This window comes from Homo sapiens, chromosome 3 (assembly GCF_000001405.40).
Source record: "Homo sapiens chromosome 3, GRCh38.p14 Primary Assembly".
NCBI lineage: Eukaryota > Metazoa > Chordata > Mammalia > Primates > Hominidae > Homo > Homo sapiens.
Window position 1 is genome coordinate 132,530,412 of NC_000003.12, and position 15,126 is coordinate 132,545,537.

The window sequence follows — 15,126 nt, forward strand, 5'->3', positions numbered from 1 at the left end:
TGCATATTCCCACACATGTATTATTTATACTCATATATGTGTATGTATTTCAAGTATATACAAGTCCTCATTTTACTTCTGATACTCTGATGCTTTCTATATTGACCAATTTTGTTTTTTCAACAACACTCCTGATTGTTTCATAAACCTCTTTAGGTCACAGCTCATAATTTGAAACACTGCTTTAAGTTTTAGCTCAATTTGGCTGTACCTTCTCCCCAAACTCCTTCCTCAGGAATAGCTCATCAGCCCATACACTGTCAGCCATCTGTTACTGTCACAAGAAAATACTCTGCATAGGTATCTTCCTCCTTGAATTACATATAAGTCGGTAATTGTAGGTTCAAATAATAGAGTCCAGCTTCAGAGGGACGACTGACTTGAGGACTTCTTTGGGTCTGCCTTAATGAGATGTGTCTGGCATAGTGCCTGCTATGGAGTGTTTGATGAATGCTAGTTCTTGCTCCATATTTGGGTCTTTCCTCACTGGCCTTCTTCCTTGTTGCTTTGGAAGTTGGTTTTTCTTTTTGTCTTCCAACATCCAGTCCTTGATTTTATGTTCAAAGGGCTTGTTTTACTTTCCTAGGTGAATGAAATCCTGTGCCGTTCTTCAGTCTGGAGTGCCTTCAAAGATCAGAAACATGATTTGTTCATTTCTGAGTCACAAACAGCAGGATACCTCACAGGTAAGCCATACCTAATTGGTTATTGTAAGACACCTGGCAGAAGCCACTTGGACCTTCCTTTTGCCCTAAATAGACTTAAAATTGTGTTCAGAGTGTTTCTTAGGCTACCAGCTGACCTTTCTTGGAGGTGCTATGAGCATGTAGTAGACATATGGTCTTAGCTTTATATAGCATGCAAACTGTTGTTGTGTTGAATGGGTACTGACTAAAGCATGTATTTTGTTCAGTTTTGATCCAGTTAATTGGGTCATAGAATATATTTGGAGCATGTCTGTATTAAAGTATTTATCTTGTAAAGAGAAGGAATAAATATCTGCTGAGGAATATCAGTGTCAGAAACATGATTCATCATTCCATATCTGTCAGAATAACAGATTAAAACTCCAAATATGTATAATTGTATGTAAAAGATATTCTTGGCTGGGCGCGGTGGCTCACGCCTATAATCCCAGCACTTTGGGAAGCTGAGGCGGGTGAATCACGAGGTCAGGAGATCGAGACCATCCTGTCTAACACAGTGAAACCCCATCTCTACTAAAAATACAAAAAATTAGCCAGGCGTGGTGGCGGGCACCTGTAGTCCCATCTACTCGGGAGGCTGAGGCAGGAGAATGGTGGGAACCCGGGAGGCAGAGCATGCAGTGAGCCAAGATTGCGCCACTGCACTCCAGCCTGGGCGACAGAGCAAGACTCTGCCTCAAAAAAAAAAAAAAGATATTCTCCTAAGTTTCCAGTGATTTGTTTATGGTTTTGCTAAATATTTAGGGTGTGTCGTTTTATGGGGGTGGAATACATAGGTATCATGAATGAAAGGATGTTTTACTGCTTTGGTTTCAAAAGATACTATGTTTAAAACTCAGAACATTTGACACACTAATTGCATAATTTTAGAATAGTCATTTTCATATAGGCTTCAACATAAGTCAGACTCTTGCTGAATGCTAAAGAGGCAATATCTAGTCTGCTATAAAAGTTCTTAATTTGAAATTAACCTTAGGAATATGAGGCGGTTCTTGCTGTCTGCCTGAAATTGTAGTATATAAAAAGATGTCAGCCCTGCATTCTCTCCTAACCAAAGATGATAAACTAAGAGAAAAAATTATCACCCAGGGTTTCTAAGCCATTGTAATTGTTTTAATCTTGATTGCTAGTATAGAAGTTTATAAGATCATGAAGACTTTATCTTGAATATTCAAAATTAGAGGCTTTGGAGGAAATTTTACCTGGTTTTAATTTTAAACTTGGTGTGACACTTTTTTTTCTTCACCATAACCACTTTAATATTGACACTCCTAAAGTTGGAGCAGAGTCCTAAAATTTATAAACATGCAGTGCTTTGGCTGCAGGTCATGTCCTGTTCAGAACAGTGTCATAGGTTTTTATTTTAACTTTTCCATCCCCTGTCCCTCATATCTATGGAGAAAAATACCTAGACTGTGTTCTCAGTCTGTCCCATATCTCTCTTCAGATTTGGTGTTAAAATTATAGCTTCTAAGTAGGAGTTTGTTCTTATAGGCAGTATAAAAACTTTACCTCTTTAGCCTATGTCCAAAAGTTCACATACCACGTTTTCATGGCATTACATTCATTACTTTTTGTATAAGGATGGTATGATTGAAAAAAAAATCTGCCTTATTTTTATTTTATTATTTATTTTTTTGAGACAGTCTTGCTCTCTCACCCAGGCTGGAGTGCAGTGGTGCGACCTCAGCTCACTGCAACCTCTGCTCCCTGGATTCAAGTGATTCTCCTGCCTCAGCTTCCCAAGTAGCTGGCATTATAGGCTTGCACCACCACACCCAGCTAATTTTTGTAATTATTATTATTATTATTATTATTTTAGTAGAGACGGAATTTTGCCATGTTAGCTATGCTGGTCTCAAACTCCTGACCTCAGGTGATCCACCCACCTCGGCCTCCCAAAGTGCTGGGATTACAGGCGTGAGACACCACACCTGGCTTTTTTTTTTTTTTTTGCGACGGAGTCTGGCTCTGTCACCCAGGCTGGAGTGCAATGGTGCAATCTTGGCTCACTGCAACCTCTGCCTCCCAGGTTCAAGCCATTCTCCTGCCTCAGCTTCCCAAGTACTTGGGATGATAGGCATGTACCACCATGCCCAGCTAATTTTTGTATTTTTAGTAGAGGCTGGTCTCAAACTCCTGACTTCAGGTGATCTGCCCACTTCGGCTTCCCAAAGCATTGGGATTACAGGCGTGAGCCAGCATGCCCGCCCTCTTTTTTTTTTTTTTTTTTTTGAGACAGAGTCTTGGTCTGTTGCCCAGGCTGGAGTACTACAGCATGAGCTCAGCTCACCGCAACCTTTGCCTCCCGGGTTCAAACGATTCTCCTGCCTTAGCCTCACAAGTAGCTGAGATTACAGGTGTGCACCACCATTCCCAGCTAATTTTTGTATTTTTAGTAGAGACGGGGTTTTGCTGTGTTGGCCAGGCTGGTCTCGGACTCCTGACCTCAAATGATCCACCCGCCTCAAATGATCCACCCGCCTGGTACTCCCAAAGTCCTGGGATTACAGGTGTGAGCCACTGCACCTGGTCAGCCTTATTTTTCTTAACTAAGAGTAAATTGGCCCTGAAGAATAGTAATGTGTATATTATAAGCTTCTCTACAGGAAAGCCTCTTCTAATTCTTCTGTTCAGTCTTATCTATCATTCTTTGACTTAACTTGATGAAATAAAAAACATATGTCCTTGACTTACAGAGTGTGAACCAAAAGGTCTGTGGTTAGAATCCAGAAGAAATAGGGGTTTATCTTCAGAAACCTGGACTTCATTTGGTCCTCACCCCCATCCACATGCTTTAGTAACTATAGGGAAAAGGTATAGGCAGTAAAAAGCTTCTTGTCTGTGCCTTTCCTTTTACTTGGATCCATGCGGTGGCTTCTGAATGAGATATGAAAAGTGGCTGTGAAGGGGTTAGAAGAAGGTTAGGGAAAAAGAAAAGTTGGGGTATACAAATTTCTTCCCATCCCTGAGCCGGCTTAAGGGACAGCAAGTTCTGTACAGGTCTGGCCAAATGGGGAGATGGTATAAAACCCAACCAGGAAGGGGCATGGAGATAATGAGTCTTCCAGAAGGCCATTACTGAAGCCTGCAGACGTGTCCATGTAGAACAGTCTGGATAAGCTGTAAGCATTGTTGACCCCAGAATTGTGAAATTCTGAGCATGTTATCAATCTGGGATGCTCTTTTTTAGCGATGTCAGTTGCTGGAAATTTTTTCATCAGCTCTAGTCTGTCCTATTTGAAAGGACCAACTTGCCAGGTGCAATGGCTCATGTCTGTAATCCCAGCAATTTTGGAGGCCAAGGTGGGCGGACTGCTTGAGTCCAGGAGTTCCAGACCAGCGTGGGCAACACGGCAAGACCCCGTCTCTATAAAAAAATACAAAAATTTAGCCAGGCATGTTGGTGCATGCCTGTAGTCCCACCTACTCGGGAGGCTCTCTTGAGCCTAGGAGGTGGAGGTCACAGGTGAGCTGAGCTCTCACCACCACACTCCAGCCTGGGCAATAGAGCAAGACCTTGTCTCAAAAAAAATTAAGTTACATTAAAAATGAAAGAACTATTTCAAGAATTAAAGCTTCTAACTCTTGCTGTCTGCCTGAAATTGTAGTATATAAGATGTCAGCCCTACATCCTCTAACTACAGATGATGTAGGCAAATTAAGAGATAAATTAGGTAAATTTACTGCCAGTTGGATTGATGTGTGCTCATTGCTTGAGTTGCCAAATGTTTTTTGTGTTTGAGCTTTTCATTGATGTATTGTGTATCATGTGTTTGATAAAAGGGGCATGTAGTTCTAATAATGATAAAATCCCATGATGTGGAACTCCAGGAATTTATAGTGTTGTGTTGAATTGGAATTTCATTTAGTTAAAATGTGCCCCGTGCTACTCCCAAACTTCAGAAGATACAGATTGTACCCAGCCCCTCTGTAATCATTGAAATCAAGGTTGCTGTGACAACACACATCACCAACCCTTTCTTCTAACTGATATCTTTAGGTGAGTTTGGCAGGTTAGGTGGATTTTGTTTAGGACATGGGGAAAGACAAAGGAGTTAATTACTACTTCAAAGTAAGATAAAAATGACCAAAACTACGTTTTCTTCTCTCTGGCTGCTGAGTAAATGTCATTCAGTCACATGCCCAAGATTTGGGGTAAAAATTTTAAAGTCCTAGGTAGGATTACTCAATCTTGATAAATTTAAATGAGACTGCCTATTTCCATAGGTTCTCTAGCCTGGCATATTTTGTTTTATGATAAATGCTTATTTAAAGGTGCCTCAGTGGAATTTTTCCTGTGATGCAGATAAATTGTGGTTACTCATTATCCAGGGCCCTTGATCACTTAGCCATTTATTAGGTTCTAGAACAGCTTGGTGCTGATGGTCTCAGAGCCTCATAAAAAATAATTTCAGCAGTGAAAATCCTCAAATTACCTAACCTAGAAAATCAGTAGCAAAAGAAGGAACAACAGGAAAAGGAACAGAGGCCAGGGTGAAGATGCTTCTAGGAGCCAGAATTGGAGATGAACTTTTCACATATACATTTCATCGTGGTAGCCAATTCAGTTTTGTGGGATTCTCTGTAAATTTTCCATCTTTTCTCATTTCTCTGAAGTCCAGCAGCCTTGTGCAATCTTGCCACATGCCCATTCCTGGCAGCCCCTGCTCTTCCCATCTTTCTCTGAAGAACACAACTGCCCTATTCTGTGCAAATGACCAGGCAGCACCTTTTAGCCCCAAGAAACCAGACACATCCTCAAGGAGAGGCCAGGGTCCTGGGGAGAGCATCTCGGATTTCATTTGTAGAACTATCCGGGAATTGATTTTGATTTGCCTTTCCTAAAGAGGCAAATGATGGTACTAAAATTTGGTTTCTTCCTTCTAAGCCCATCATTTCACCATTTAGATTTTAGCTCAGAGGTTCCCACATTTTCTCAGTTCACAGTGCCCTTAATAGCTCAGTAATTTTTTCATCCGTCCCCAAGCCAAAAGAAATACCTAATAATTTAGTTTATGAAGTAATTGCAAGACAACTTGAAAGTAGTTGTTTGTATGGTGGTCAGCAGATGGCGCTGTGTTTCAAATTTAAAATACCCAGCAGTTAGCTGGATGATGTGGCAGGCAACTGTAGTCCACATGGACAGGCCGAATCCGCTACTCAGTAGGCTGGGGTGGGAAGATCACTTGAGCCTAGGAGTTCAAGGCCTGGATAGGGGAGTTGCTTGAGCCCAGGAGTTCAAGGCAACATAGTGAGACCCCCATCTGTTAAATACACACACACACAGAGGGGCAAAGGGAATAAATAAATATCCAGCAATGCCCCAGGGTGCCTCAGCACACAGTTTGAGAACTGCGTCATTAATCCACTTTCTAGATGCAGCATTCATGGTTTGGTCTTGTAACCTACTATTTTGATGGGAACCAAGTTGAGCCCACAATCAGAATTGCTCAGAAACTACACAGTCTGGAGTGTTTGAGGTCTTACTGTTAAGGGTTACATCTTTGATGACACCTACTGGATGGTTTTGCAGTAATCATGCTGCAGCCTAAAGTTCAGAGAATATGAGGGTGGTGGGAAATGATCACAGGGTGCTGCTGTAGCTCTGAACTGCGTTGTCAGAAGGGTTTGTTGACCTGGTGGCCTTTTTCCTGAGCAGACTGTGAAAGGCCTGGCATCCTGATTGGCTCAAGGCAGGAGTTGATAGATGCAGGCTCCCACAGTACCTTAAAAAGGAGAAATATTTTTTGTAAGTTCTACAAGTACAAGGTTTTTATAAGTACAGCGTTCCAAGTACCTGGGCACTCTGGTTGGCTTCAGTTACAGCTCACACAGGCTGAGTCATCTCTGCCTATGTATCTATACAAGCCATTTCACATCCATAGTACCAATACTTTTAAGGTCAAAAACAAGATGAATCTGAATGGTGGCCTTTTTGTCCTCCACCAATCCCTGTTTCTACCTTCATCAAACTACTCTGCTGTTTGCACTTCCTCACAACTTCCCTTGCTGCTTATATTTCTTTTTTCCCCTCAGGTGTCTCTCCTTCCCTTCTAACTGGCAGCAGCCCCCTTCACCTCAGGAGCGGGCTTTAGATCCGCTCTGCCAGGCAGCTTGCTAACTTCTGTGTAGCTCTCTGAAGCAGGTAGAGAAATGTTTTGCTAAATGCATGCCGCTCCCACTGCCTTTCTAGTCCTAACCCTCAATGTTCCTTAGTTGTTTGCCTTGTTTCCTACAATTTCAGCTAAAACTATTGCTCAGTATGCAGTATTATGCTACAGTGTCCCTTGCAAGTACTTGTTAGTTTGTGCAGTGCTTCTGAGATGTAATTAAATGTTTATGCAATGTTTAAAATAAACTCTAGAGGGCTAAAGCCATTAATATGCCCATAGGACACATCTCGATAAATGCTGGCATATATGGCATTTTCATGCAATAGAAACTGTTAGAATCAAGGGAGAAATATAAGACTAAAATATCAGTACCCTTTCACATAGCATTCTTGTTTTAACCTATGACAGATGGATGTCCAGAGCCTTTTCTTTTTCAGAGTCCTTGGTTTAGCAACCCTTGTTCGTTTGGTGTTACTTGTTATAATAGCATTTCTTTGCACCAAATGAAAATAGGTTAGTTTGAGTGTTGACAGAAGTGTTTATGTTGAATTTTGTCACATATGACTTTTGGATGAGCTGAGTGTAGAGTTTCTTTTGTCTGTCTGTTTCCATTTTTTCCATTCGACATAGTTCTTTTCAGTGCTCGGAATTTTTTGAAAGATTGAATTTCCCAAATGTAAGAAAGAAAATTTTATCCATATTTCCACACCAGTGTTACTGTCCAGCATACATTTTGAAATGATTTCTAGTCTATAGTGTAGGCAAACATGAAAATAGTACTATGTAGCTGTTTATTAAGGTATAGATGTAATTTAGGTAATTGAAATAGATGATTAGTTTTGTGTGATGGAGTGCCTGAGCAGGTTCTGACATTTTTATAAAGGTCAATGTTTTCACTTGACTGCTTTCTAGAGGTGTGTGTTTACCTTTCTCTCTTGCAGGACCTGGAGTTGCTGGCTACCTTACCGCAGGTACATCTACATCAGTCATGTCTAACCTGCCACCTCCTGTAGACCATGAGGCAGGCGACCTTGGCTATCAGACTTGAAATATTCACGAGAGACAATAAACGCTGAAAGGCCAGTGCCAAGTCCACATTCCTCCAGCTGATACGTTGAAGCAAACTCTTACTGCCTTTCTCCTGGTTTCATGACAGTGTTATTCCTTTTTCTATAAATATATTTTTAGGAAAAAAAGTCAGTGATCCTAATTGTATCACATTATAAGAAAGCACTCTGTGGATCAACATAAGTGGGTACACAAGAATTTTTTTTTTCTTGGTGTATGTAAGCACATTTGTTCCTTTATATCTGTTTACAAAACTGTGAATCAAAAAGACAAAACTTTCTTCCTAGTTTTTGTAATTTTTTTTTTGAACTAGCATGACTGTAGGGTTGAGCTACAGTCAACAAAAATTGGGCTAAGTCACTTTTCCCCAGGAAAGAATATTTCCCTCTCCTGCATCAAGTCTGCGTGGCCATCCTCCCCCCACCATCCAAGACTATTAGGTTTTGTCCCTGCACCCTTCACTGGCATCCTCAATCATTAACCTTCTGAAAGCTCACAGTACACATTAGTATGTATAACTGGCTTTACCAAATTGAATGAAAAGGAGCTTGTGCAAAAAAATTTAAAAATGGATGTCAAGATGTTATGTAAAAGATGAGTGTAATTGTGAAATGTTCTATACACTATCAAATATATAAAGCTTTCTATATTGAATGTACATTATACAGATCATTCATATGTGTACATAAAATTTTAAAAATAAAGGGAATTGACTGCTTTGTTAATGAGATATATTTGTTCTAGTTTAATCTTTCCGTTTGAAGACCTCATATATCTATCTTTATTTCTAAGACAGATGTAGTATTAAACAGACGTTATCTTACATTCGTAACTCTTCATATAGATGGCTGCATTAACATAATCTAATCATTCCTAACTTTAATATTTCAGCCACATCTAAGTTTCCAGACACAGCATCTCATTTATTTTTCATACAACATTCAGGAATGGGTCAGGCTGTTAATAATATGTGACATTAATTCTACTATTTTTAAGAAGAGAAAATTAAATAGCCAGAAGATTTTTCAAGTAACAAATCTCAGCACATAGATTTTCTAGTGTGACCACAAACTACAAGAAAATATAAACATGGAGAATATAAACAAACAGTTCTTAAAGAATGGGGAAATACCCACACTTCCAAGTTTCCTTTCAAAGCAAGAACCAAGTTTATTCCACAGTTGATGTGTAAGAACAGCCAAAATGGAAACTTACTCCTATTCCAAATCACTAATTCAAACTTCTGCATCAAGTTTATCATCTCTAACAGATTATAGAGTAATATGTTAATGGAAGTATTTTAATATGTAACTAGGGTTTTAGTTTCTAGACAATAGTTGGGTATAAAAATGTGTTCACTAAAAAATTATAACAGCTAAATTGGGATTAGGTATTTAGGAGAGCATAAATCAACATAGCAATGTTTTCTTTTAAATACTAAGAATATAAGTATTGTGAATACAATAGTTAAAGGCCCGTTAAATTAGTCTACGATCATTGATGTTTAGATGCCAACAATACTTAACCTTTATTGAATATTTACTGTCTGCTAAGTATTGCATAATCTCATTTAATCCTCAGAACGAACCTGTGGGCCAGTTAATCCTCAGAGCAAACCTGTTGGCCTGGTACTGATATAATTCCCATCTTCCAGGTGAAGAACATGAGGTTCAGATAAGTAAAGCAGCTTACTAAAAGTCACACAACTAGTAAGTAACAGAGTAAGAAATCAAAACTCTTATGTGACACTGAGGTCTGTATTCTGAGCCATAATATGAAGACAACAGCAATGTCAGGCAAGTGTCTGTGATGGGGAAAGCTGAGTTTTGATCTTTGAGGGTGGAGGCTTTATCTGAGATTTAAGCATGAAGTCGTTTGCCTCAGTCCTGAGTTATAAAAGACAGCTTGAGCAGGGTAACAGGAAAGTATATATAGGACACCTGGAGGGGTGGGGGTTGTCTGGTATGGCTGGGGGATAAGGGTCCAGAGAGAACCCAGCCTGAGACCCAGGGAGGAGCCAGCTGGACGGTGTCCTAAGTGCCAAGCTGACGCATTAACATCAAACCTAATAGTGATTCAGGAATGAGATCTGTATTTTAAAATAAACAGCAGTGTGGAATGATCACTTTGGTGCGTTTGTTGGGAGAGGGGCTGTTTAGAGGTAGCAAAACTCAGAGATACACTCTAGTAACCCACAGTCCATCTAAGGAGCAGTGCAGAGGCAGAACACTGGAAATGGGCAAGAGACCATGCCGGACCCTCGTCCGTCCACTGAGGATCATCACCAGATGCTCAGCTCAAGAATCCCTTTCAGTCTAGAACTTCTGTGATCCTTCTCATGCTTAAATTGTTCATTATATGATGAATATCGTGTAAATAAGCTTTATTAGGATTTTGAGAAGAGCACTGTGAAAAAAAAGTTGCAGATAAACTTTCTTGCAACCTACTCTGACTAGGAATTTCACCGCCTCCTTGAGTTTTTGGGAAGGCATGGCCCTCCTTTTACTGGCCAGTAGCAGTGTGACCAAGGAAGGCAGACTTCTTTGTTTCCTTATCTATAAGGTTCATTCTGAGCCCATTCCTCAAAGGGGTGTTATGAGAATTAAATAGGGGTGTTATAAGGCCAAAAAAATCAAATTCATTCCCCTTGCAATAAGATAAAAACCAGTGGTTATGAGGAATTGGATGTATGTGCTTTCTGTCCAATGAGTTATTAATTAGGTATTCTTTTAAAAGACTGAACTCCTTTTGCAATATGTAGTTGCATGGTCACATGTGTGCTCATGCCACTTTTGTGATGGGAGAGGGGAGGACAAGGACTTCGGGGAAGTTAGTCATTAGGGACTAAATGGTTGTATCTTCCCCCAAAATTCATAGGGTGAGACCCTAACCCCCAGTGGTATTTGGAGATGGGGCCTCAGGGAGGTAATTAATTAGTGTTAGATGAGGTCATGAAGGTAGTGCCCTCATAATGGGGATAATACCTTAGACACCAGAGAGCCTACCTGTACCCCCAAATTCCCCCACTACCTCCTTTCCCAACACCTGACATTCTGCACCAAGAGGTCACGTAAGCACACTGGGAGCCACGTACAAGCCAAGAGAAGAGGCCTCAGAATGAAAGCTAACTTGCTGGCACATTGATCTTAAACTTCCCAGCCTCCAGAACTGTGAGAAATAAATTTGTTGTTTAAGCCACCAGTCTATGGTATTTTGTTATGACAGTCCAAGCAGACTAATACATAGTGTTCGCTGGAGCACCAGTAGCAAGAAGAGAGTTTGCTCATAGATTGGTAGGACAAAGGGCTGGTTAGAGCCAGAGCCACCTCAGCCTTGATGGGACTTGGTATAAATTCAGCTCAAGCACCTTCAGAAACAACTGACAGCCTGTCCTGAAGCTGGGGAGGCAGACCCCTAAGGCTGGCCCACAGCACACACCAAAACTTGGAATGCCCACTAAGTTAGAACTAGGTGACTGCCTGGCTCCTGGGAGTGTTTCCAGTTTTTTGTTTGTTTGTTTTTGAGTACATGTTAAGTTTTGAGTATCCAAGTTATATCAGAAATCACGCCTGGATGCCCAAGGTGTTGATTCTAAATCAGAATCACTGCTGGATGCCCAAGATATTGATTCCATCCTCATATTAACCCCAAATGTTTGTGTGGATTTTGGTTGAATTCAGTGTTTAACTCATTAACTTGTGTCACCCAGTCTGTTTAAATTAGGGCAGGAGAATGGAAGTAAGGTATCTTGGAGCTGGTATGGACCGAGTTGGGGCCACCTGGGCTGTGGTTCTGGCCTCCACCAAGTGACCTTGGAGCTGTCACCAATAAGTGGGGGTCATTAATGTCTCCTTTGTGGGGATGTTCGGGAGATCAGGAATAATAGATGTAAACACCTAATAGGGTGTCAACCTTGTAGACAGGAGCGTCTAGGAATGAGGAGCTGGGCTTGGTGATGCTGTGTCAAGGAAGAACACTGGCTTGTCAGGCAGATTCTGCCCTGCTTAGGTTTCTGACATTGGGCGTTAATTTCATCTATAAAATGCCTGATCTGGTCAGGAAATCTTACTTTGGTAAGATGTTAAGAATCTGTTGAAATACGTGTAAAACCTTTATGCAAAAATGCCCAAAAGCGCATATTTTAAAAATATCCGAAAACTCAGTCCCATTCTCGCCCCAGTTAAAAACCTCAGAACTAGATCACTTCCCAGAATTATTGTTTCCCATAGATGATTTTTTGTGAAATAAATTATTTAACTCCTCTATTGTAGTGGAAACTTCAGGCATTTCTCCTGTCATCAATGCTTTCCCATTACTAGTTGTTACTACATGTGTTGTTTAATATGTTATTTAGCATTTAAAGCAAAGAACTTCACATCTGGATTATTGACCACTAATTTCTAAACTTAAGGAGTAAAAGGTGGGTGAGGTTACTGTGGGTTCCAGGGCCCCAAGAATACAGGAAATAGGGTGGCCAGTTTAAAACGTTTGTTTTGCCATCAAGCTTATGAAAGAAGATCTGTACATTTCCATCATTTTTACAAATCCCCAATTTAAGGAAATAACTTTGTAAGAGAAGAGAAAGACCCAGAGCTGTTCATGAAAACTCTGTTATTTACACAAATAAGAATGTTCGTGCTTAAATTTTTTAACATTGAAAAGGAATATGGTTTATAAGTTATGCAGTTATGTATGAAGAGTTTTCAGCTATTGTCCAATGGCAGTAGATAAAAAAAACCTAAGGTCTACAAAGAACATTGGCCTCATTCCCTGACCCCTAACCAATGTCTGTGAGCAGGAAAAGAGGAACCTCATGCCCTCAGTCTCTACTTCAGGGAAAAGTTTACGAAGATGTGGCTTGAGTCAATGAAAGAATGAGTCATTTGTCTTCAAAAGGAAAGGTCATATGGAAGTAATTCTACAAATATTTAGCTATGCATAAGTTCAGGAAAGTCATTTCACTTACTTAAGCTCAAACCTCAATCTCACATTTTAGTATTTTACACAACTCAAAATAGCCTTTCGTATGTATGTATCAGGTTTCCCAGCATTCCAAAGCAGGAAGTGGAACATTTTTCCCAGCTTTAAAGGTAAGAGCTGACCTGAGGACAATCCTGTCAGCCCTAAAATGATCAAGGTGAATTCAGAGTAAGCAAATCTAGAGTTTGGAGCAGAAAACTTTATCAACTGATACAACAGCTGGATGATAGCACACCCTTCCAGTGGCAGGGACTTGCCTAAAGCAACTGAGCATTGTGGAGAGCCTTTGAAGGCAGCCCTTAGTGTGAATGCTGACAGGTGTATGCCTCCAGGTATGACAGTAGAAGCAGAAAAGAGGCCAAAACAGGAAGAAAAAAAGGAAATTTTGGAGGACACTAGGAAGAAGAAAGCATTGGAAAAGAAAGCTGTATAACCATACCCTCAGAGATAAGCATTGCATCTACAAAACAGGATGCCACTTTGAAAAAAAATTTTTTTCCACAGAAAATCAGGTCTTAAAAATTTTTTAATAAAAATAGAAGAAAAACAATAGAAGACATTGACAGAGAAAGTTGAGGAAATCTTGTGAAGAAGCAGAGTAAGATGGAAAAGTAGACAAAAGAGACCCAGTTCAGGGAGCCCATTATCTAAAAAATTTAGATCCCAAAAGAAATACTAGTTTTGAAAAGGGGCTGAGAACAAAATAAAAAATTCAAGCACTTTCCCAGTAAGGAAGACTATGCCACTGAAGAGGCCAAAGGAACTTCTCCTTCACCCTCTGAAAGGTCTGCTGAAAAATCAACTTGCAAAATGCAGAATAATTGGAGAAAAGGCATACAAATTTATTTAATGAGTATACACAGGAGCCTTCAGAATGAAAGCCCAAAGATCCTGGGGAAATTGTTCACTTTGATGCTTAGGTTCAACAAAATATTGACAGCCATACTTTGATTGGCTGTGTTTATGATTGGACAAAAGGGTAAGATCAAATGCTAAGGGACTGCATGGGGAAACCCAGCAAGGTCTGTTTAGACTCTTCTTGGCCTATCCGAGCATGCAGTCCTTCCTTCTGGGTATGGGGCGGGTCTTTCTCTGGAATAGGGGTCCTCTGAGCTATAGTCCAACAAGGTAAGTCAGATCATTTCTTTGTGGCCAGTTTTTACATAGAAAGGTGGAGGGAAAGGGTAATAACTTTAGGTTTTATGGCTGGCTTTGGGGAAAAGAGGTTCTGGTTTCTGACCCACCTTGGGGAAGAGAGATTCTAGTTTCTGTGGCTAGCCTTGGGAGAGAATGGAACTGAGCGACAGGAAGGTAGGAGAAGGTCAGAAAAACTTCTGGTTCTGAGGCTGCTTCTGAGACCTTCATTCTGGGGTTTGTTTTATGAGTCCCAATGTCAGAGGTGTTTGAACCAGAGTGACTCCACCTTGAATAGGGGCTGGGTAATATAAGGCTGAGACCTGCTGGGCTGCACCCCCGGGAGGTTAGGCATTCTCAGGCACAGGATAAGACAGGAGGACAACAGGACTGGTATCACAGATACAGGTCATAAAGACCCTGCTAATAAACAGGATGTAGTAAAGAAGCCGCCAAAACCCACCAAAACCAAGATGGCAATGAAAGTGACCTCTGGTGGTCCTCACTGCTCATTATACACTATAATATATTAGCATCGCAAATCATTCCCACCAGCACCATGACAGTTTACAAATACCATGGCAACATCCAGAAGTTACCCTATATTGTCTAAAAAGGGAATTTTCTGGAAAACTCACGAATAATCCACCCCTTGTTTAGCGTATGATCAAGAAATAACTATAAAAATAGCTGGCCAGGCACGGTGGCTCATTCCTGTAATCCCAGTACTTTGGGAGGCAGAGGTGGGTGGATCACAAGGTCAGGAGTTCAAGACTAGCCTGGCCAAGATGGCAAAACCCCGTCTCTACTAAAAATACAAACAAAAAGTAGCTGGGCGTGGTGGTGTGCACCTGTAATCCCAGCTACTCAGGAGGCTAAGGCAGGAGCATCACTTGAACCTGGGCGGTAGAGGTTGCAGTGAGCCAAGATCATGCCACTGCACTCCAGCCTGGGCCACAGAGCAAGACTACGTCTCAAAAAAAAAAAAAAAAAAAAAATAGCCAACCAGCAGCCCTCAGGGCTACTCTGTCTATGGAGTAGCCATTCTTTTGTTTCTTCTCTAATAAACTAGCTTTCACTTTATGGATTTATCCTGAATTATTTCTTGTGTGAGATCCAAG

The 15,126-nt window shown here is 40.7% G+C and overlaps 1 protein-coding gene across 4 annotated transcripts in view; it reads left to right on the top strand.

Moving 5' to 3' along the window:
* Window positions 1–8,621, top strand: part of DNAJC13 (DnaJ heat shock protein family (Hsp40) member C13) — a 121,531-nt gene extending 112,910 nt beyond the window's left edge. For all 4 annotated transcript variants that reach the window (NM_001329126.2, NM_015268.4, XM_047447819.1 and 1 more), the window contains 2 exons: window positions 587–686; window positions 7,765–8,621. In NM_001329126.2, coding sequence (NP_001316055.1) covers window positions 587–686; window positions 7,765–7,871 — 207 coding nt within the window. In that variant the 3' untranslated portion in view covers window positions 7,872–8,621. The remainder of the gene's footprint in view (window positions 1–586; window positions 687–7,764) is intronic.